This window comes from Homo sapiens, chromosome 1, assembly GCF_000001405.40.
Source record: "Homo sapiens chromosome 1, GRCh38.p14 Primary Assembly".
Lineage (NCBI taxonomy): Eukaryota > Metazoa > Chordata > Mammalia > Primates > Hominidae > Homo > Homo sapiens.
The window spans coordinates 18,873,686-18,895,431 of NC_000001.11; the positions used below are offsets into that span (position 1 = coordinate 18,873,686).

At 56.0% G+C, this 21,746-nt stretch overlaps 1 protein-coding gene and 1 non-coding gene across 5 annotated transcripts in view, besides 5 other annotated features; both read right to left on the minus strand.

Moving 5' to 3' along the window:
- The window catches only part of ALDH4A1 (aldehyde dehydrogenase 4 family member A1), a 31,126-nt gene that overhangs the window by 2,256 nt on the left and 7,124 nt on the right, over nt 1-21,746 (minus strand). For 2 of the 4 annotated variants that reach the window (NM_170726.3, NM_003748.4), the window contains exons 2-14: nt 16,327-16,420; nt 15,677-15,769; nt 12,779-12,826; nt 11,788-11,943; nt 9,594-9,743; nt 9,439-9,513; nt 8,015-8,202; nt 5,615-5,688; nt 3,731-3,927; nt 3,523-3,570; nt 2,630-2,782; nt 1,697-1,818; nt 778-896 (exon numbers count right to left, since the gene is read on the minus strand). In NM_170726.3, the coding sequence (NP_733844.1) occupies nt 778-896; nt 1,697-1,818; nt 2,630-2,782; nt 3,523-3,570; nt 3,731-3,927; nt 5,615-5,688; nt 8,015-8,202; nt 9,439-9,513; nt 9,594-9,743; nt 11,788-11,943; nt 12,779-12,826; nt 15,677-15,769; nt 16,327-16,420 (1,517 nt within the window). Of the gene's footprint in view, nt 1-777; nt 897-1,696; nt 1,819-2,629; nt 2,783-3,522; nt 3,571-3,730; nt 3,928-5,614; nt 5,689-8,014; nt 8,203-9,438; nt 9,514-9,593; nt 9,744-11,787; nt 11,944-12,778; nt 12,827-15,676; nt 15,770-16,326; nt 16,421-17,008; nt 17,207-21,746 lie in introns of those variants that run through there. The other 2 variants (NM_001161504.2, NM_001319218.2) reach the window with 2 other exon arrangements.
- Nucleotides 1,610-1,904: an enhancer, noted in NCBI's record as "tiled region #7483; HepG2 Activating DNase unmatched - State 25:Art". NCBI's record gives its function as "activates a minimal TATA promoter and a strong SV40 promoter by Sharpr-MPRA in HepG2 cells {active_cell/tissue: HepG2}" and the evidence as "EXISTENCE:reporter gene assay evidence [ECO:0000049][PMID:27701403]".
- Nucleotides 1,610-2,211: a biological region, named in NCBI's record as "Sharpr-MPRA regulatory region 7483".
- Nucleotides 1,707-1,796: a silencer, noted in NCBI's record as "silent region_345". NCBI's record gives its function as "represses an Ori minimal core promoter by ATAC-STARR-seq in GM12878 lymphoblastoid cells {active_cell/tissue: GM12878}" and the evidence as "EXISTENCE:reporter gene assay evidence [ECO:0000049][PMID:35858748]".
- Nucleotides 1,712-2,211: an enhancer, noted in NCBI's record as "H3K4me1 hESC enhancer chr1:19201891-19202390 (GRCh37/hg19 assembly coordinates)". NCBI's record gives its function as "activates a minimal SCP1, AML or CMV promoter by ChIP-STARR-seq in primed H9 embryonic stem cells {active_cell/tissue: H9 hESC(primed)}" and the evidence as "EXISTENCE:reporter gene assay evidence [ECO:0000049][PMID:30033119]".
- Nucleotides 9,517-9,590, minus strand: MIR4695 (microRNA 4695). Its single transcript, NR_039844.2, has one exon. It is a non-coding gene; the product is annotated as a microRNA 4695 (primary transcript).
- Nucleotides 10,444-10,675: a silencer, noted in NCBI's record as "fragment chr1:19210623-19210854 (GRCh37/hg19 assembly coordinates)". NCBI's record gives its function as "represses an EF-1alpha promoter that drives an FKBP-Casp9 reporter gene in an ReSE screen in K562 erythroleukemia cells {active_cell/tissue: K562}" and the evidence as "EXISTENCE:reporter gene assay evidence [ECO:0000049][PMID:32094911]".

Genomic DNA, 21,746 nt, shown 5'->3' on the forward strand with positions numbered 1-21,746 from the left:
CTGCCGGGGACCCTTCCAGTCTTTGCCCTATGTGTCTGCGCATCTGGCTGTTCATCTGTATCCTTTAAAATACCCTCTGCAATACATGGGTAATAGTAAGCACGCTTCCCCTCGGTTCCGTGAGCTGTTCTAACAACGTATCAAAACTCAAGAGGGCATCATGGGAGCTTCTAATGCGTCGCAAAGTCAGACAAGGTGTGGGTAACCTGGGGTCCCAGTACTTGTGATTGGCATCTGAAGTTGGGGGGTCAGTCTTACGGGACTGAGTTCTTAACCTGTGGGGTCTGCACTAACCCCAGGCAGTGAGCATCAAGTTAAACTGTAGGACACCCAGCCAGCATCCATCAAGAGCTGGAGAACTGGTCGGTGTGGGAAACCCCAGCACGCCTGGGTTCAGCCCTGGCTCTGCCACTCAGGAGCAGTCACCTTTGGCAAGCCATTGCTCCTCCTGAGCCTCAGTTCCCCATTGTGAAGTAGAGGTTGTTGGACTTAAGGGACACTGGCTATGGTGCAGAAAGTGCGGCTGCTGGAGCCAAAATTACAATCCCACCAGGGTCATGTGGCCTTGAGCCTCAGTTTCCTCCTCTGTAAAATGGGAAGAATAGTCCCTTTGCTCACGAGTTTGCTGAAAGGACCCTGAGCTAGTGCACTTGCTTGGCCCACAATAAGTGCTCAGTAAATGGTATCCTTCCTATTACTCTGAAGCCCCTCGAGACGTAACATCTAGGGTCTCCCACCAGGAACTCAGCTCCCCTGTGGGAAGGGGGACCCACTCACCAGAGGCTCGGGCCCCCCCAAAGGGCTGCTGGCCCACTATCGAGCCAGTGGACTTGTCGTTGATGTAGAAGTTGCCGGCAGCATTCCTCAGCACCTTTGTGGCCTCCTGCACGACGTCCCTACAAAGCAGAGCAGTGGTGACAGAGCAACCAGCTCATCTCCCCTCCAGCCCCAGCTCCAGCCTCAACACCCCTGCTCCAGCCCACACTGGCTTTCCAGGTTCAACAGGAGGCCGAGTCAGGGATGAGGGATGCTGCCAGCTGTTGGCTGTGGGCCTTCGGTCAGGTTACCCAGTCTCTGAGCCCAGCTTCCTCCTCTGGGGAGGGGCTTGGCACGCCTCGTTACAGGGCTACTGCGAAGTTGAAGGGAGTGGCCTGTCCTGGTCCAATGTTCCTGTCCCTCAGGAGCAGCGGAAACTCCAGCTCCCAGGCCCACACCCTTCCTCCCTCTCCAAGCTCACCTCCACTTTCTCATAGAGGCAGACATGGGGGCAACCAGTGCCACGGAGGAAAGAAGAGGCGAAGCCTCAAGTTTAGCCTCATGTGACCCAGGTTCGAATCCTGCCTCTGCAGCCCCTGGCCTGCCCTGCTTTGTAGCATGGGACAATCACCTCACTCAGTGGGGCAACACCAGATCCCGCAGAGCCAGTCGAAGACACCAATTCCTAGCCCTGCCCCTAGAGGTTCAGATCCACTGGTCCCCAGTGGCACCCTGGCACCGGCACCACCAGTACCGGCAACAAAGAGCCTGCTGCTGTGGGCCCATGTGGCGAGCCCTGGCTGCCTGTCTGGGCTGAGGGGAGGGGACAGAGAGAAGGTAGGGGCAGCATTATTACTGGGAACCACGTCCAGGAGGTGGGGATGGGGACACGGACAGGACACCCGGAGCACAGCACCAGGGCTGCGGCCTGGCCACTCACTTATCCTGGGAGAACACTGCCCCCGTGAGGCCATAGCTGGTGGTGCTGTCAACCAGCTGCAGCGTCTCCTTGTACTTGTCATCCGGGTAGACGTACACAGACAGTACAGGCCCGAAGATCTCCTAGGAGAGAGGCCCCGGCGTCAGACCCTCCACGGGACCAGGGACCAGGGCCCTGAGCCCTCCCAGTGCCCCTGCTCTGGCTCACCCTCTCCCCAGTCCCTGGGCCTCAGTTTACACTTCAGTGTCTGCAAGAAGGGTCAGGTGTCGCCTCCTCCTGGGTTCCCTCCAGGACAGCAACGTGCCCAGCTCCCTGTCCTGTCCATCCCACCACAAGCCGGCAAAAGATGCAAACATTTTCTGGCTCTCCCTGCCAAACCCACACCCGGAGAACTAAGGGTCCAGGTCCCAGAGGCTTCCAGCAGCAGCTGGCATGAGAGTTGCCCAGAGATACCATTCCCTCCAGAAGGGTTCATGGTTCCCTCTGCCACCAAGGGGCTGGGGGGAAGATCTTCTCAGGCACACTCCAGCCCTGCACTACCAACTTGGGCAAGTGCCTTGACCTCAGTTTCTCATCTGTAAAATGGGAACAGTAACACCCACGTCATCTCAGCCAAGTGCTCAGCCACAGCTGGCCCCACAGTAAAAGTCTATCAGTGTCAGCCATTATGATGGCTGCAGTGGACGTGGTTGCTGAGGGCACTGGAAATGCTCAGACCCCAGCCAGGGTCAAGGACACAGCCCCGGATTTGGAGTTAGGCAGCCTGAGCTCAAAACCTGGCTCTACTCTCTCCCGGTCGGAGGCATTCCCTTTTAGGGTCTCCCTTTAGGGCCTCATCTGTGAAATGGGAGAATGTCTCCAGGAGAACTGTGTGTGTGCTGTGCTCCGGTGGGATTGTCCTCCTCTGGACCCCAGGCTGCCCACCCCAGTCACCTCCTTCATGATGGGCTCCTGAGGGTCCTTGCTCTCCACGATGCAGGGCTCCACAAAGTAGCCCACGGAGTCATCACACTTGCCCCCGGCCAGGATGGTGAGGCTGGGTGAGGAGCGTGCGTGCTCCAGCCACTTCTTGATACGGGCAAAGGACTGGGGTGGGCAGGGAGGAGGGAGGTCTAAGAGGCTGGGAAGGCATCCCTGCGGCAGCCCCCACAACACACTCACCCCGAAACACCTGCACCTGAAGGGCCCAACTCCTGAAACAGGGGCAGGGGTAGGGGACGCCAAGGGCAAAAGCCAGGGTCTGGCTGAGCCACAGCAGAGACAAGGACAGACATGAACACTGTGTGTGTGTGTGTGTGTACACACACAAGTGTACGTGTGTTAGTACTACAGGTGCACTCGCATATAAACACAGACACACATCAATCAATGCATATATAGGCATATGCATGGTCACATGTCTAAGCATGTAGGGATCTGCATGCCTTCTCCATGTACATGCGTGTGGGTGGACTTATCGACATATGCGTGTGTGTGCTTATGTGCAAATGGATATGTACGTGTTTATATGGAAAGACCTACATGTGGAGCCACACGGAGCCCTATATGAACACATTCACAAACACACGTGTACATGCACTCATGCAAATGCTATTAGGAGCTCGCTGAGCCTGGTTCCAGGGTGGCCGCAAGATGAGCTCTTGTCTGGCTACGGCTGATTCTGCCCTTTCTGAAGCTGGAGGTGCGTGTGTGGCTGCTGAGCTGCCTTGATCAAAGCAGTGGGGCTGGGTCATGCCCTGGGTCAGGGTACCCTGTATCTCTTCCTCCCTCTTCCACCCACTCCAGGGCTTGCCCCCACCCAGGAACGCCCACTTCCCACCCCGTACCTTGGCATCAATCACTGCAGAGAAGAAGGTCCCAAAATCCTCTGCAGGCTGGAGGCAAGGGAGGCGCCAGAAGAGACGAGTCACTGCAGGCCGAGACCAAGGGAGACCCCTCCCCGCACACCCCAGCCCCGGCTGCAGAGGAGCCTCCCAGGGACCCAATCCCATCAGCCCCCCGCTGGGCCGCGGCGGGGGTGACGGTGCCACTCACGTCGCCCACTTTGATCCGACTGTGCTCCTCCAGCAGCCGCCCTTTGATCTGCGGCCACAGCGAGTGCGGCACGTAGAGACGCGAGCACGCGGAACACTTCTGGCCACCGTACTCGAAGGCTGAGCGGAGGGTCCCGCTCACCACGCTCTCCACGTCGGCCGAGCGGTGCACGAAGTGGAAGTTCTTTCCGCCGCACTCTACAGGGGTCGGGGGTGGGGAAATGACCAGAGGAGCTGGCTCCCCCGGTTGCCCAGGGGCCCAAAACACCACCTACGCCATCCATGGCCCGGGACCAACACGAGCACGGAGCAGCCCAGAGCGGGCGGAGGCTCAGAGTGAGCGCTGGCCAACATCCCAGAGACCCACGGGCCAGGCCCATTCTCCCACTCCACAGATGAGGAAACTGAGGCCCAGGGAGGGGTGAAGGGCATCAGAGGTGATCAGGTCCAACAGCCCCATTACACTGATGGGAAAACTGAAACTACCCAACACAACAGCAGAGGACAGATGAGAACCCAAGGCCCCCGAGAGCCAGCCATTCCCAGAAGTGGGCACAGCTTTTTGTGAGGTTCTCCTGAGCCCTCGTCCACGAGGGACATTGGAGCCTACCCTATGTCGGCTGCCAGGGTTGGGCCCCTCCTCCCCACGCGTGCTGGAAACCGCTCCCCCATTTCCCCAGTGGGAGGGAGCTTCAGACAGGTCACTTCACTCTCCCGGCCTCAGTTTCCTCCCTCCGTGGGAAGCAGCAGCTAACAGCAGCTGAAAGCACTTAACAGCTGCCCAACTCTGGACGAAGTACGCTGTGCTTTGTCTGACCAAAGCCTCACAACAACCTCCCATTACTATCCCCAATTTCAAGCCAAGAAAACTGAGGCACAGAGAGATGAAGTCACCTGCTCCAGGTTGGAAAGTGGTAACCAGCGGCCTCTCTCCCTCAGGGAGGCAGGGAAGGAGGCTCTGAGAGCAGAAAGCCACACAGCTGACCCTGAGGAGCGCTCACCTTCCCTGACACCCCCATCCGAACTCCCACCAGTCCAGGAACAGGGTCCAGACTCCCCAGTGGGCCCCAATTCACGCCACAGAGAAACATGCTGGACCACCGGTCCCAGCTCTGCTGGTCACGTGCTGGCTGCAACTCTCCCTCCCTCTAGGCCTCAGCACATTCCCAAAATGTGCTCCACAAAACACTTGGTCCATGGGGGTCTTTGCAGAAACGGGGTTCCATGGCCCAATGCGTGTGGGAAACACTACATGGCAGACCTTGTCCTTGAAGATGTGCCATGCGTATTAGAGCATTCAAGGCTCTGAGAAGTTCTGCACGGGAGGAGTCCATTTTGCTTTAACACCACACATGCCAAATTTCCTTGACCATGAAACTGTTTCTTTGTGGGAAAACTTTAATATGCCAACAAGGTCCAGCCCTGCCTACGTCTCAGCCCGTCTTCTCCTACCAGCCCTCCTCCCTCCCTACTCATGGGCCTTGCTTTGTTTCTTCAAATACAAGTTCATTCCCACTTCTGGTCTCTGCATTTGCACTTGCCTCCGCTTACAGCTGCAATGCCCGACACGGCAGCCACCAGCCACGACTGGCTACTAAGATTTAACTTAATTAAAATGAAAGAAAACTAGATAATGCAGTTCCTCAGTCGCACAGGCCACCCTTCAAGGGCTCCATGGCCATGTGTGGCTGGTGGCTGCATATTGGAGAGTGAAGGTACTGGACGCATCCCTCATCACAAAAAGTTCTACTGGGCAGTGCTGGTGCCTGAAATGGTTCATCCACCTGACTTGTGGCTGGATCCCCTCTACCTCCCTCCTCTTTCATAATGGCCAGGGGAGGGGTCCCTGGGGCCACACGGGAGGAGGAGGTGAGGCAGGCCTTACCTCCAGCCAGGCGTGGGAAGGTGTGGAACCGGTCCAGGTTCTGGGCCACCTGCTTCCACAGGTGTTTGAAGGTGCTGGAACCACAGGAGAAAGGGTGGGGTTCAGGGAGCCAGGCCAGAGGAAGGGGGCGGAAAAGCCCAGGGAGGAGCATTGCCGGGGGCAGCCCAGCAGGAGGTGGGAGCCAAGTCGGGGATGGCGGCTGGGAACAGGCTGCATTCCAAGACTACGGGGAGCGGGCAACGGGGGGCTAGGCAGCAAGATGCTGCAGAGGAGGTCCATGTTCTGCAGCCAGGAGGACACTAAGGGCTGTGTGATCCTGGGTTCATTACTTAACCTCTCTGAGCCTCGAATTCTGCACCTCATCTGGGAAACAGGGAGAACAATCCTGACCTGGCAGGGTTGTTTTGTGATGAGTTCAAGTGTGAGGCATGTGCTTAAGACATGCTGGGCACACTGCAGGTACCTGGCAGGGAACAGACCCCGCTGTGGTCTGCGAAGGATCCCCCCCAAGCCCAGCGCCCAGGCCTGAGAGGCCAAACCGAGGAGAGTCCTGGGAGAGGGAGCTCAGGCCCCGCCCGAAGCCACCACCCTGGAGGGCCTCGCCTCCTCCCCAGGCTCCAAGTGTGACCAACCTCAGCACCACAAAACAATAAAAATGCTAATCACCCGGGAGCCAGCGACACAGTAGCTAATACTAATTTATGGCCTTCCCACCTTTAAGCCCGCTGCTCATCAGAGCGTGGAGAATGGGGTCCAGGCCCGCTCCGCCCGCTGATAGGCGGGGAGCCCAGGGGCCCGTGGCTGGCAGAGCAGGCCTTTTGGAAAACGGCCCTTCTCAGCAGTTCTAACGCTGCCACCACCCACTCCCACCCCCAGCAAAGCTGCGGGGAAGGGGGTGGCAGAGCCTGGGGCCTGGAAGAGGAGGTAAGAAGGACCCTGAGCTGCAGACCCGGGCGTCTGGCTGCCTCCAGGCATCTCCACCCAGATAACACCCGAAGTGACCAACAGGAGATTCATCTTCCCCCGAGCCCGCTCGCCCTCCCAGGTGCCCATCTTGAACATTCTCGCTGACAACCCCCCTCATCCCCACACGCACCCCAACCCCAACTCCAGGACAGGCAATGGCCACTGTGCCTCCCTGCATCCTTCTCACCTGAACCTGCCCCCTTCTCCACATCCCCCATCTCTCCCCTGGTTCAAGCCCCTACCACCCCTCCCTGGAGGTCAACAGTCCCTGGCCAGTCTCCTGCATCAGGTCACAGAGAGATCACTGAGAATGAGGGTGCCAACACAGGGGCCCAGAGGAGCCAGCAGGGAAAGGAAACAGCGTGGATCAGGTATGCAGGGAGCCAGAGGGCACCCACCCACTTCCAGCCAGTGGTACCACCAGGAAATGCAAGATCAGAGCATCCAGGTCCAGGGGACCAAGACAGGCCAATATTTGGATTTATCTATGAAATTGTCCCAATTATACAAAGTTGGGCCATCACTGTTAGGAGTCAAAGAAAGTAGAGCCTCTTGCCAGATCCAATTTGGGGGCCATTATTTGCAATCTCTGCCTGACACAGAACTCTGACTCAGCCACTCTCCCTGCTTGAAGCCTTCCATGGCTCCCATCACCTTCAGGATAAAGGCCAGACACCTTTGCAGACTCCTAAGTATCTTATGGTCACTGAACCACTCCCTGCCGCCACCTCCAGCCTGAGAGCCGGGACCTTGTCCCTGGTGTGTGCTCACCACTGAGCCTTAGTGTGAGCTCCAAATTTCCTGCTCAGCCAGTGAGTGCATGGATGGTCGAGATCAGGTAGTGGCCTGCCTCCCCTACCTCAACTCAAACCATGCCCTGCCCTCACTCTCTTGCCCTGTCGCCCCCAAACTCCACACTCCAGCCACACAGGATCCTGCCATGCCCCAGAGCACAAGTTTTTGGCTTGGCAACATTGTATGTGCTATTCCCTCTCCCAACATATATATTCTTCTCCTGCCTCTTCCCCTCTGCCTGGCCAACTCCTCTGCTTAGATGTCACCTCCTCCAGGAAGGCTTCCTGACTCCTCCAGTTCATTCTGTGCTCCCCTGTGCCCTTTCCAGTAGCAGAGGTAGCACTGAAATCAATATTACCCACAGCTGTAGGGTGCACTTCCAGTCTGCGAAGCTCTTTCCTGTTCATTAACATGTTTAATCCTTGCAATGACTCTGCAAATTAAGGATAATCACTCCCTGTACAGGTGAAGAAATGGAAGCTCAGAGAGGTGAAGTGGCTCACTCATAGCCACACAGCAAGTAAGGGAGTAGAGTCCGTGCATGACCCCTGGGTTCACAGCCCCATCCCCAGGCAGACAGCAGGTGAGCAGGTGAACGTCCCCTAGCCACCACAGCCTACACCATCCCCAGGGACTTACGGCACACTGCCTGTGAAGTTGATGCCACAGAGGTGCTCTGAGCTGGTGACAGTGTCCCCAAATAGGGGCCCATCAGCTGGCACAAACTGGATGATGTTGGGGGGCAGGCCAGCCTCCCGAAGGATGCGGTAGACAGCATAGCTGGCCAGCATGGCAGTGTCACTGGGCTTCCATAGGACCACGTTGCCCTGCCCGGGAGGTGTTTCAGTGATGCATGAGGATGGCGCCACCAGCCCCCAACCCCCACCCCACCCTACCCTACAGCATGGTTGTCCCTCACCTGGAACCACCAGACTCTGTGCCAACCAGGACATCCCCTACCCGACCCCACTCCTCCAAGGCGTCTGGCCCTATCTCCAAAAGTCCCTGCCAAGGAGGCCACGGCACAGCCCAATCTGCCCCACGCTCTGGCCAAGGCTCCCTTTCCCCAGAAGCCTGCACCAACCGGTCCTGCCATCACCTAGGCAGGTCTGTTCTTACTGCTAGAGTCACTGAGTGCTCACCGGGCGCGGCGGGGCAAGTACACACGGGCTCTCTCAGCACATGTCCTGGGTCAGGCATGTGCAGCAGCCAGGCACGTGGGCGCCTGGCCATGCACCGTGTTTGTCTGTGCACAGATGCATGAGGACGTCCCCATCCATGTCCCTAGTACACACTCCGGCATCAGCATCCAGTGCCCCTGTCTGGGGCTCGGGGTTCCCGACAACTATGTGGACCTCTCCCACCCAGGCTGTCTGGGAGCTGGGCTGCACCTCCCCCACAGGCCTGGGACTTCATCCAGTAATAGCCAACCTCACTCCGATAATGGCAGAGGAGTGACTTGAATACCATCAACCCCGAGAGAGACTACATCCAAATCTTTCTCTGCTCCATCATTTATTTACTAGTCACTCAGTCTTGCCAAGTAAGTCACGGCTGTGTGTCTCAGTTTTGTCATCTGGCAAAGAGGCAGAGTCACAACTCCCTCTCGAAGCTGCTGAGAGGATGAAATGAGATCATCTCCATGCCGTGCTTGACAGCAGCAGGCACGTGGTGAGCACTGAAGGTCAGCGGTAATGATCATCAACAGAGCCACCAACACTCAGCCAGCTCCGGGCCAGCCCTGCCTGCTGCTGGATGTGTCTCATTTGAGCCTCACAACCCAGTCATGGAGGCTTTCCTATTATTTCCACTTTGCAGATGAGGAAACTGTGCCTCAGAGAAGTTCAGGGATTGCCAGGGTCTCCCAGGCAGAGAGGCACGACGCTGGGATTCAAACTGGGTCTCTGGTCCCAAAGCCTACCCACAGCCCCAAGCTGCCTCCACCTTCTGTGCCTCTCCCCATGACTAGGCTGAGACCCAAGGGGCTCAGGGTGGCCTCTGTCTGTCTGTTGGGACCAGGAGGACAACCAGCTGCCGCTGTCCCACCTGTGCCCACATCTCACCATCAGGGCCGGTGCCCCCGCCAGGTTGCCGCCGATTGCAGTGAAGTTAAAGGGCGAGATGGCCGCCACGAAGCCCTGGGGAAGGAGGCAGCGGTGAGATCAGGCCCATGGCATTGGGCTGCCCCGCCTGCTCGCCCACTGCCTCCTGCAGGTACCTCCAGACCCCGGTACACCGTGCTGTTGGTGCTCGGGGGCACGCTGATGGGCTGCTGCCCCTCCAGCTCCACCGCATACTTGGCATTGAACCGGAAGAAGTCGATGAGTTCCGCTGCAGCGTCAATCTCCGCTTGGATCACGGTCTTACCCTGCAAGGCAGAGGGCCGGGGGTCAGGAGCAGCCAACAGCCTCCTGTCCATCCTCTTCTCACATCTGACGCTGTGCCCAAAGCGAGCACTGAGCCGGGCCCCAGGAGGGACCAGGAAACATTTGGAGGGCTCACCAGGTCCCATCCCAGGGGCTGAGGGGGAAAGGATTCTCAAGCCCCTGAGCTAGCACCTCCTGTAGCCGGCCCTCTGGGCTGGACGGGGATCAGAAGAATTTTAGTGATCCTCTGTAGCAGGCCAGGTACTTGCCATGCACTGTCTTCATTTCATAGCAACTCTGAATGGTGGTGCATGGCAAAGGATCTATGGTCAAGCCTCAGACTAAATTCAGGATCAGAGCCTTCCAGACAGAAGGGCAGATTAGCATGAGCTGGAGATTGGTCACTGGAAAACCAGGAGAGAGACTCGGTGTGTGGGAGGTGGATGGCTCCTTCCCCAGGAATGATGTTCGGCCTTGCTGGTTAGTTTGGGCCAAAAACCAAGAGGCGAGTGACTGTGATTCCCTTAAACCGTCAATTCTTAATAACAGCAAATGTGAGCTGCAGGGAAAAGAACTGTGGACAGCCAAGAACGGGGCTTTTCCAGATTGACGTGGCCTCCTCTTGGCACCCAAGGTCACTGGCAGGTGCACGACCTATTAGAGACACACAGCCCATGAAGCTGAGCTAAGATGTGTACCTTGCTTCCTAGAAGTTCCTGAGTCTTAGGCCAAATACAGAGAAAGCCTAAACTGATCCTAGACTGTCTTCCCAGCAACGTGCGGCTCACCAGGAACACGCAGAGCTGACGCCCACCCCAGAGGGCTGCTGAGCCAATCTAAGAAGGCATTTAGCAGGCTGAGGGGCTGTCATACCAGCTCTGTGCAGCAGAGGGGGCGCTCACCATGGGGACCGAGGAGCAGGCAGTGGCAAATGCCTGATCCAGAAAGCAGCCTGGGTTCTGGCTCCTGCAATTTACCCTTCAGGAACCCAGGTTAGTTGGCAGCGTAGGGCTCAGGTCCTGGAGGTGGTGAAATAACCCTTTCTCCCTCGACTCCTGTCCCCCGCACACTCTGCCTGCTAGAGCCACTCCTCACTCAACTTGCATTTAGCAGGGTGAGGAGCTGTCATGCCAGCTCTGTGCAGAGAAAACCATTGATCAGGGGCTTGCTATGCCTCCTGAAAGGTATCATGCAAAGCCCAGAAAAAGACCGAGAATGTCAAGACATGTTTACTATGTCCAAAAAGCTTGTAAAGGGGCAGTACCTAGGAACTCAATACACTCCAGTGCAATCTGAGCTGTAACTGATGCAGGAACAACATGCTCTGGGGAAACAGAGGCAGGAATAGTCCTTTCGGCTGGAGAAGGCTCAGGAAGTCTCACGGAGGGGGTGACATCTGGGCTGGACCAGGAGGTAAGAGTTCACTGAGCACGGAAGAGACAGCAGGCATTCCAGGCAGGAGGACACGTGGGCAGAGGCAGAGAGGATGCCTGCCATGGCCGGGGAGTCCTGCTAAGTGCCAAATGGCTACACTATGGGCAGGACAGCTTGGCAGGGAAATGCAGAGCAGTGGGCGAGCTGGACAGAGGTGGGCAGAAGGGCCCTGGGTATGGGGCTCAGGTCTTGGGACTTGCCTCTCAGTGGTGGAGAGGTCTGGGTGGGTCATAAGCCAGGAGTAACATCCTGGAGGTGTTGGAAAGACCACTCTGAGGGCGGCGAGGGGCTGACCAAGCTAGGAGGCAGGGAGACAGTGCAGGCCACCACCAGTCCAGGCAAAGCATGACAAAGGCCTAGGAGCGAGGACAGAGGGATGGAGGAGAGGGGACATTTCCGAGGCAGGACACATGGGCTCTGCACAATCTGTCTCGCCTAATAATCTGTGATCATCCATCCCAGCTCCTAGGCCTTGTCCCTTGAGGACATCTCTGGGTCCCCAAAAGGGCTTAGGACCCAGAAGCGCTTCAGCTGATGTCTGCTGCCATGGGTAGGGCACACCTGACTCCCACCCCACCCCGCCCCACCCACCCGGGCCCACCAGCACCTCACCTGTCCCACCATGGTCTTGGCGAGGATCTCAGCCCTGCGCGGCCCACTCAGCATGTCTGCCGCCTTCAGGAAGATCTGGGCCCGGTCTGCAATAGGCTTCAGGTCCCACTCTTTCCGGGCAGCCAGGGCAGCCTCAATGGCTTTGTTGAGCAGGCTCTAAAGGGAGAGGGAGAGGTTGGGGACTGCCACCTGCAGCGGGAAAGGCCCTGGGGAGTGAGCGAGGGAGGAGAGACCTGGGAGGCCACTCTCTTCCATCCGGGGACAATGCCTGTCTCCCTGGGCCCTCAGCCCCCTGCCACCATAGCTGCCAACAACAGCGTCCCATCAGAGCCTGTAGTGGCTGCCAGTCTGAAGCCTGAAGGGCCCGGCCAGGTTGGTCAGCTCTCCGAGGCCTTGGCACTGAGTCCCGCAGCTGTTACACTGGCTCCACTTTCTCTCATGGTCTAATCAAAACCTTACCTTATTCTTGGGACCTGGTGCCCCTTAACCCACCATCCAGAAACTTGAGGTCAACTGGAGCCTGAGACACGGCTCTGCTGCTGGCCTCCCAGACCCCAACTGCCCTCATCGCCACACAATGCCAGTTCCTGGACCCCCAGCCACCCCAGCCCCTCCTGCTGGCCCTTTCCAGTGCCAATTCTTGGCCTAGCTTTCCATCAATGGTGTCTCCAATTGCCCTGACTCAGCCTTCCAGAATCCACCTCCTCCCCAGTCCAAGGTCTGCCCCACCACAATGGGCATGTCTGGGAATGTCTCAGCCCTGGCTGAGGCAGCTTGTGTTTGGCTCAAGTTAACCTTTGTATGCCTGGCCCAGTCAAAGACATCACCCAGGGACTCCCTCAGTGTCAGCCACCCCCTGCCCACCTACCCACCATGGCCAAAGAAGGACACAGCAACTGATGCCCCCTGCCCCCGCCATATCAGCAGCTGGCAGGGCAGAGCAGGGGCAGCAACCCTAACCCCGGGTCACCAGGCACACAGGCTCACTCACCTTGTCTGCATAACAGAACTTGGCCACCTTATGTCCATGGTTAAAAGGCTGAAAGGAGAGAAGAGTGAGGTCCTTGCCCGGGAGGGAGGTGCCAGGATAAGGATGAAGAGGACTGGACTCAGAGCCGGTTTTCCAGGAAAGTCCTGGACACGCCTGCTGTCCCCCCTCCCCCGCTCCCATGAAACCCTCCCCAGTGCCCGGCCCACAGGTTGCTCCCTGTTAAGGGTGCTGGTGTACCCGCTATACCATGAGTAAGACATGGCTCCTTCTCCAGAAGGCTCAGAGTCCAGGAGAAAGGCATAGACCCCAGGGTCTTTCCAGGAAAGCACGGACCTTTGTGGTCAGAGAGACATGGGTTCGAATCCTGGCTCTGCCACCTACTAGCTGTGGGGCCCCAGGTAAGCTCACTTCCTTCCCTAAGTCTCTTCATCTAGGAAATGGGGACTGCCCTCCCTGTCTCTTAGCATGGACAGGAGAACCAAAGGGGATCATGGATGAAAATTCTTTGGTCCAGTATGAGGCTGCGACTATGGGCAACAAAACCAGGTGAGGCCCAAAAGAATGCACCGGTGTTGTGACATGCTTGGGACTTCCGCCCTGCCCCGAAGCCATCATGGACAGAGCAATTGTTTCCTAAGCCCCAGATTTACTAATCTAAATAGGAAGATCCTCAACAAACATTTATAAACACAACCTGGTGTTGGTCCAAACCGCACCATTTTGTCAGCTCCCCGCTATTTTGCAGACCTCGGGCCAAGTGAAACATTTCACAGGAGCTCAGGCCATGAGAACCATCCGGCTCAGCCGCCTGACCGCAAGGCGGACGAAGGCCCACCTAAAGAAACTTCCCTGTTGGCCGGGCGCGGTGGCTCACACCTGTGATCCCAGCACTTTGGGAGGCCAAGGCGGGCGGATCACAAGGTCAGGAGATCGAGACCATCCTGGCTAACATGGTGAAACCCTCTCTCTACTAAAAATACAAAAAATTAGCTGGGCGTGGTGGCGGATGCCTGTAATCCCAGCTACTGGGGAGGCTGAGGCAGGAGAATGGCATGAACCTGGGAGGCGGAGCTTGCAGTGAGCCGAGATCGCACCACTGCACTCCAGCCTGGGCGACAGAGCGAGACTCCGTCTCAGAAAAAAAAAAACCATCCCTATCATATCTTGCTGGGTAAAGGTACAAGGAACACCACGATGACATCCCACCGGAGAGGGCCAAACCACCTGATCATAACAACATCTTATCAATATCCTGCCAGGCAGCAAGCCATACTGCCCAGACCCGTCTCACCCATACCGATGAGTACCTCAGCCTGTAAGCAGCGGTGGGCCCTGGCATTAAGCTGGTCCCCCACTTCCTCAGGTTTCTGCAATATACTGGTGTTGCTGTTTCAGCTGCCCTCTCTCTGTGTGTGTGTCTTTCTTTAACCCCTGTCTTCCCTTCAAAACCTAATGCCCGGCAGTGGTGAACGCTAGCATGACCAATGAAGCAGGGAGAAATTTCACTTCTTTCCTTCCTAGGGCTGGCAAGATAGTTTATATCGTAATAGCTGACACTTTTGCTACCTATCCGTCTTCTGGTGGGTTATTGGAGCTTTCCTGTCTAAAAGAGTAGCCACGAGCCACATTTCACATGCTCAACAACCACACGTGGCGGCTCATGGCCGCTGGAACGGACAATGCAGATCTGGAACATTTCTGTCCTCACTGCAGGAAATTCTACTGGCCGGCGCTGGTCTAGGCTTGAGTAGAAAGTGACCATTCTCCTTCATGTTAAAGCTTGGCACAGTCACTCTGTATTCGGGCCACACCTGAGATTGGCCTGTGATGCTTAAGGGCAGAGAAGGTGGCTGCGACCTGGGCCCCAGTGGACTGCAGAACCCCGTCAGCACTATGTCCCGGCAAACATAGATCCTGCCCTCACATGCCCCAGAACCCCAAATGTCTCGTGCCACAGTGATCAGCACATGGCCAGAATCTCCAGCCAGGTCGGCAAGGCAATGTGGGAAATGAAAATCAGCAGTATCCACCCAGGGGCTTATCAGAATGCCGGAGCCTCGCTGCCTGGAAAAATCCCAGCTGCCATGCAGCCTCAGACGCCTGCGGAGCTACAGGTGAGGGCAAGCTCTAGGCAGCTACAGAGACAACCAGGGAGCTGGGTGGCAGGTGCTGCTGTCAGCTGGCACCTGCACACACACCCAGTGACAGACAGAGTGACCTGGCCAATGCCTGCAGACCCCAGGCCATGCTTGGACAGCTCCAGGTAGTCCTGACCCAGCAACTAGAGCTCCAGGACACTGCTGTGGTCAACTCCTGCCCCAGGCTGTCCTGGGAACCTTCAGAGTGGGGGACCTGGGTCCTCCCCCTCAGTCACCCCTCCCCCTGCACACGTCTGCCCAGGGTTTCAGCCGGACAGAGCCAGAATGTGCTTGCCCTGTTTGCAAAAGGGCTGACCTTTTATTCTCCCTCAAATCACAGACCTATGAGTTTCCTGGCCCACGTAAAGTGCATGCCAGTTTCTGGATGGATAAACTCCAAGCATGGGGGCTTCTTAGGCCAATGCCATCTGAGGTGCTCGGGGCCCGGGGCCCAGCTTTTTGTCATTAGCTCCCAAACCCCCTTGGCAAGAAATCTATGAGGAATAACAGAAGATGCTGTGTGGCCCCCTCATGGCCTTTCTTGCCCAGACACAGGATGCCGCTATGGGCTGGATGCAGTGTGGGTGCCGTCCTTTGCTTTGGGAGTTTTACTGGTCCACAGAATTCAAAATCTGGGGTGGGGAGGGGCACTATAAAGGCCTTGAAGTCAGAGCCCACACATTATAAGCTTACGAGCTGTCAGAGAAAGAGGTCACATATTCAGGGGAGGGGCTGAGCTCTGCCCACCCGCTGGACATACCGACACTTGGTACTGCACGTCCGACGTCCACACCTCCTCATCCCCCACCACGCATGGGATGGCTTCCATCCGGCCCTTCAGGTCCTTCAAGGCCTGGGGAGAGGGACAAGAGTGGGTATGGTCACCGCCTTCCTCGCTTCCTCCCATCTAAAACCCTAACGCAGAGTCCACAGACGGAGGTGCCCAGGCAATACAGAAATGAGAAGGGGGCCAGGCCAGGTCGGTGGCCATCAGAGAACATGTGCTGCCCTCGGGGACAGCCGGACTCTGCTCCAGCCATTGTCACCCTGCAGGAAGGTGAGGTCTACCCATGACACAGAGATAAAAAAACTGCACCTGAAACTTATATGAAATCTCATGATTTTTAAAATGCTGGCAATTAACTGGAAAACATGTTTAACTATAAAACAACTAGGTTTATGACATCTGACCTGGCCTGAGAAGCCCCAGAGTAGCTCCAGGCTGCCACCTTGGTCCTCCCAGCTGTTCCCACACTCCAGACCCACAGCCCTCCCAGGCTTCCACCCAAGGCTGGGAGCAAGGGTAGAAGCGGGTGATGGCTGCAGGCACGGGGCGCTATCTCAGGGCTGCTGGGGATGGCCTCTGCTCCATGCCCTGCACCTCTCGGGTGCCTCCCACCCTCCCATTACCTTTTGCAGGGCATCTCGCTCAGGGCTGCCCTGCGTGAAGGCTAAGACGGGCTCGTTGGCCACCTTCAGGGAGGAGGTGTGCTTCCACCGCAGGCTGGAACACAAGGGCAGGGGACAGAGGCAGAGAGGTCAGCAGCGGCCCCACCACCAGACCCCAGCCCCTCTACCTCCGACAGGGGGTCCTAGGTGGGCACCCAGAGCCTGAAATCCAATGCAACTAGAAAGTGGGGGGTCAAAACCCCACCTTGGGCTGGGCATGGTGGCTCACACCTGTAATCCCAGCACTTTGGGAGACCAAGGCGGGCAAATCACTTGAGGTCAGGAGTTCGAGACCAGCCTGGCCAACACGGTGAAATCCCGTCTCTACTAAAAATATTTTAAACGTTAGCCAGGTGTGGTGGCATGTGTGCCTGTAGTCTGAGCTACTCAGGAGGCTGAGGCAAGAGAATTGCTTGAACCCAGGAGGCAGAGGTTGCAGTGAGCCGAGATCGTGCCACTGCACTCCAGCCTGGGTGAGAGAGCGAAAAACTCCATCTCAAAACAACAACAAAAACCCACCTTGGGGGTCCACAACCCAAGGTTCAAGTCCCAGTCCCACGGTTGTGTGTCCTTGAGCCTGTGAGTTGCCTCCTGTGAACGTGGTTCTACGTCTATCAAGTAAGAATAATCGCACCGAACTCACGCGGTTGTTTGAAGTTTAAACACACAGATGCAAAACCACGTTGAAGTATTTTCCACATGCAAAGCGTTACTCTCCCTTTCTTCTCCCACAAGGCAGGCTTTATCCCAAAAAGACCCAAACTCCTCTCTCTAAGCTGAAAGGGCAGCACATTCCAGAACACAGTCTCAGAATGTGAACCAGCTGAGATCCCCTTGGCACAAAGGGCTGAGAGCTCTGGCTGGGCAGGAATGTCCAAGATGTGGACCATGAACTTGGAGAGCTGCCCTGAGCTCAGCTCACAGCCCCGGGAGGGCTGGCCCTGGGGGTGAGGTGCCTGATTCCAGGACACTGAGTCTCAAGAACTCCTTGCTCAAATCCTCTGACCTCTTTCCACCACCCCCTACCACATCTGAGGGTCACAAGGTGGGAGGTCAGGTGGCTCAAAGCTAGGACGCTGGGGTCAGTCATTCCAGAGCTGGAGCCTCAGCCCTGCCACCTCCCAGCTGTGGGGCTTCCCCTTCAGGCCTGTTTCCCCCTCTGTAAATGAGAAGAATGATGATGACAAAGTCAACTAATGCCCAAAGGGCACTTGAAATTGACAAACTTCCCATCTACCGTGGCATAGGACGGGCCTCACCAGCCACCTCTCTACAGAAATAAGGTCATTTTGGTCCTAAAAGGAAAATGACTAGTTCAAGATCAAGAGTAGGGGAAACCTGCACTTGAGTCCAGAAGGCCCAGATACCATCTCTCTCTGGTGTCAATGGCCCCAGACAACCCGAACAGCTGGAAGTGCACAGGTGGGGTTCACTGGTCGGCGCAATGAGGGAAAACACACAGCGTAGGGAACCACAGGGCATCTCAGTAAGATGCTGTTAGGAAACCCATGGGGTTTGGCAGGGTGACTTGGGGAGGGTTTAAGGAAGCCACGGTTAGCTCTGGATTGGCTGCCATCAGAAAGTGGGGGTGAGGCTGACTGGGAAAAAAGGAACATTTACCAAGATGTGCAGAGCTTTGTGGGTGGCACAGAGACCTTGTTTTTGTCCGTGCTTAGACAAAAATCATGAAGAGAAGGCCCGGCATGGTGGCTCACACCTGTAATCACAGGACTTTGGGAGGCCAAGGTGGGCGGATCACTTGAGGTCAGGAGTGTGAGACCAGCCTGGCCAATATGGTAAAACCCCGTCTCTACTAAAAATACAAAAATTAGCTGGGCGTAGTGGCCCACTCCTGTACTCCCAGCTACTTGGGAGGCTGAGGCAGAAGAATCACATGAACCCGGGAGGCAGAGGTTGCAGTGAGCTGAGATCACGCCACTGCACTCCAGCCTGGATGACAGAGCAAGATTCCATCTCAAGGAAAAAAAAAAAAATCAGGAAGAGGGCTTATTGTGTCTCATCTGATCATGGTCTCAGAGGGACGTGGCCTGAGGCTAGTGTTCTGCGGGATTGTTTTTGCCCTATGGGAGACAGACTGGCCCGGCTATGAGTGTCGGGGGCCAGAAGGAGTCTGGGGCTCAAAGACCCAGCCTGGGAAGCCTGAAGGAAGGACACAAAACCAAAGGAGTGTGGCCAGGCCCTGTGTTCATTCCACTTGACTTGAGGTTGACTGAGGACCTGCTGGGTCTCTGGTGCCGTCTCAGACCCTGGAGATAAAGCAGTGACAGAGACAGCGAGGCCCCTGGCTGCACACAGGTGACCTTCAGTGTGAGGCCTGGTCAGGAAATAAGCAAGGTAACCGCAGATGGTGAGCATGGCAAACAAGGGGGAGAATAGGGCTGCTTCAGCCAGGGTGGTCAGGGAAGGCCTCTCTGAGGAGGTGACCCTGAGAGGGACTTAAAGGAGGCTTGAGAGGAGCTGGGAAGAGCATCCCAGGTAGAAGGAGGCGGGGGGGGGCTGAGAGGGGCCTGCGTGGTAGAGGGAGAGGGAGAGGCAGGGGCAGGGCACCCAAGATCCTGACAGGTAAAGTGAGCACATAGGACCTTCTCTCCACTCCCCTCCCCTCCCCACCAACCTCCACCCTGAGCCGGTAGCTCTGCACTCCCCACCCCCACTCTGCCTCCCACTAGCTGTGTGACCTTGGGCAAGTCACATGTCTTGAAGCCAGTTTCCCTCCCTCCCTAAAACACTGACACCCCCTCATGGGGTTAATATGGAGATTTGATAACGATAAATACATTAAAATCTGCACGGCCCTCTTCCATCTACCATCATGAGAAGAATGGAGAGGCAGCCACGAGTCTCCACAGTCCCTCAGGAAGGGACAAGGCAGTGTCAATCCCCTGGGACCATCTGGAAGCTTCTGACAGGGACCTCAGCTAAGCTCCTGACCCTGCATTCAAGCTGCGCTCCAGGCCTCAACAGCACCACACCCACCAAAGATGGTGAGCCAGATATCACCATCAACTCTTTCAGCCGAGAAGCGGGACTCCAAATAACTGAGTCTGTCCCAGCCCCTCTTTGGAGCCCAGGTCCCAGTGGATGGGAAAAGCACAGGCCCCAGAAGTGGACAAATCCGGAGGCAAAGCTCACACCTGCTCCATGACCTCAGTGCATTCTTAGAAAGTCTGCGAGCCTCAGTTTCCTCACCTGGAAAATGGGTACAATACTACCGAAAAGAGAAAAATAGCTCAGAGCAGCGTGAGCTATGTGAAGTATGCAAAATGTATCAGGCCCAGGGAGACACGAATATGGGACCTGAGTCATGCCCTTTGCATCCACACCCGATGGCAATTATTTCAAGGCATTTTGTTTCTGACTAGCTGCCTCATCCATTAACTTCATGATCCTGGAAAGCGTCACACAAAGAACAATGCACAGCAAATCAGTAGCTTTTTTTTTTCTTTTTTGAGTCGGAGTCTTACTCTGTCACCCAGGCTGAAGTGCAGTGGTGCGATCTCAGCTCACTGCAACCTCCGCCTCCCGAATTCAAGCAATTCTCCTGCCTCAGCCTCCCAAGTAGCTGGGATTACAGGTGCCCGCCACCACACCCAGCTCATTTTTTGTATTTTTAGTAGAGATGGGGTTTCACCATGTTGGCCAGGCTGGTCTCGAACTCCTGACCTCAAGTGATCCACCCGCCTTGGCCTCCCAAAGTGCTGGGATTACAGGCGTGAGCCACTGTGCCCAGCCGGTAGCTTATATTATTTTAATATAAATTTTTGGTAAATGACTTAGAAACTGCCTCTTTCCTCCGCACCTTAAAATCCCACTTGTTACTGCAGCTAATCGGAGTGTATATTCGAGGTAACTTGAATCTATGCTCCCCGGTGGCCATCCTCAAGTTCTGAGCTCGAATAAACTACTTAATCCTTCTTTCTGAATCTCACTATTTAAGGTTGACATGATGCACCTTGCAGGGCCATCAGGAGGATTACAAGTGTTGGCCTTTCCTCACCCCTCCTGCTCTTGCTTTCCAAAGAAAACTGTAAAGGTCTCAGAATGCTATTTCAGTAGATCAGGCTTTCAGAGACAAATGGGCTCCCAGATGCCCCCAAAAATCACAGCCTCGGGGACTGGCCCAGGTACTCAGCAACTGCTGGAGGAATACACAGCACCATATTCCATCCCCAGGTTAAAACGGAGTAGGCCGGTTGCAGTGGCTCACGCCTGTAATCCCAGCACTTTGGGAGGCTGAGGTGGGCGGATTGCTTGAGGTCAGGAGTTCGAGACCAGCCTGGCCAACATGGCAAAACACCATCTCTACTAAAACTACAAAAAAATTAGCCAGACGTGGTGGCACGCGCCTATACACCCAGCTACTCAGGAGGCTGAGGCAGGAGAATCACTTGAACCTGGGAGGTAGAGGTAGCAGTGAGCCCAGATCGTGCCACTGCACTCCAGCCTGGGCAAGAGAGCAAGACTCCATCTCAAAATATATAAATAAATGTAGTAGCGGCCAGTTCTCCTTTCTCCGTTCCCTCCCAGGAAATGTCAGAGTCAGAGATCCTGCAGGCCTCCCTCCTCCTTCCACAGGGCAGAGGCCCAGATGCCCACTGTGACCTCAGGATCACATGCCCCCACGGCTTTCCCTGTGCCTGGAAGTCTCCAAGCACTGGCCCAGCTGTCCGTCCATCAGTCTGAGTGTGGCCTGGAGAACAGACACTAGTTCAAAGTTCAGCCTGAGTCGACTGCAGCTAAAAATAACCTAAGGACTCCCACCCATCAGTGCTTTCTTTTTTCTTTCTTTCTTTCTTTTTTTTTTTTTTTTTTTTTGGTTCATGAACAATTTTGGGCTAACAGGAGTATCCATCCACTGGCTGCTCGGGTGAAGGCAGAGATGAATCAGTCACAGGACTTGGGGCCTCTCTGAGGATCCATGAGGACCTTCTTGGCAGGACAGCATTCCTCATCCATTCACGCATTTATGCAGTCAGTACACATTTATTCCACATGGCAACGATGCAGAGATAAATTGGATCAGGTCAATAACAGCTCACTCAATTATTCAGCATGCGTTTTCCAAGCACCCAGGAAGTGCCTGGCTCTGGGAGGCAGATATGGATCCAACCCAACCTTTCTCAGAGCAGCCCTCAGTCCTCCCACTTAGGGAAGGCGGCACAAGACAGAGTCTGAATCTGACTCAGGTTTCCCTGAAAATCTGCAGTGCCCTTTCTGCTCATGCCCTGAGCCTGAGACCTCAAGTTGGTCCCCCTCACCCTCTACAAGTGGGATCTAATCTACGAAGGCCATGCACCGTTTCACCTCCTGCACTGGAAGTTGTCAGGGCTACAAATGCTGGGATCTGATCCACGAAGGCC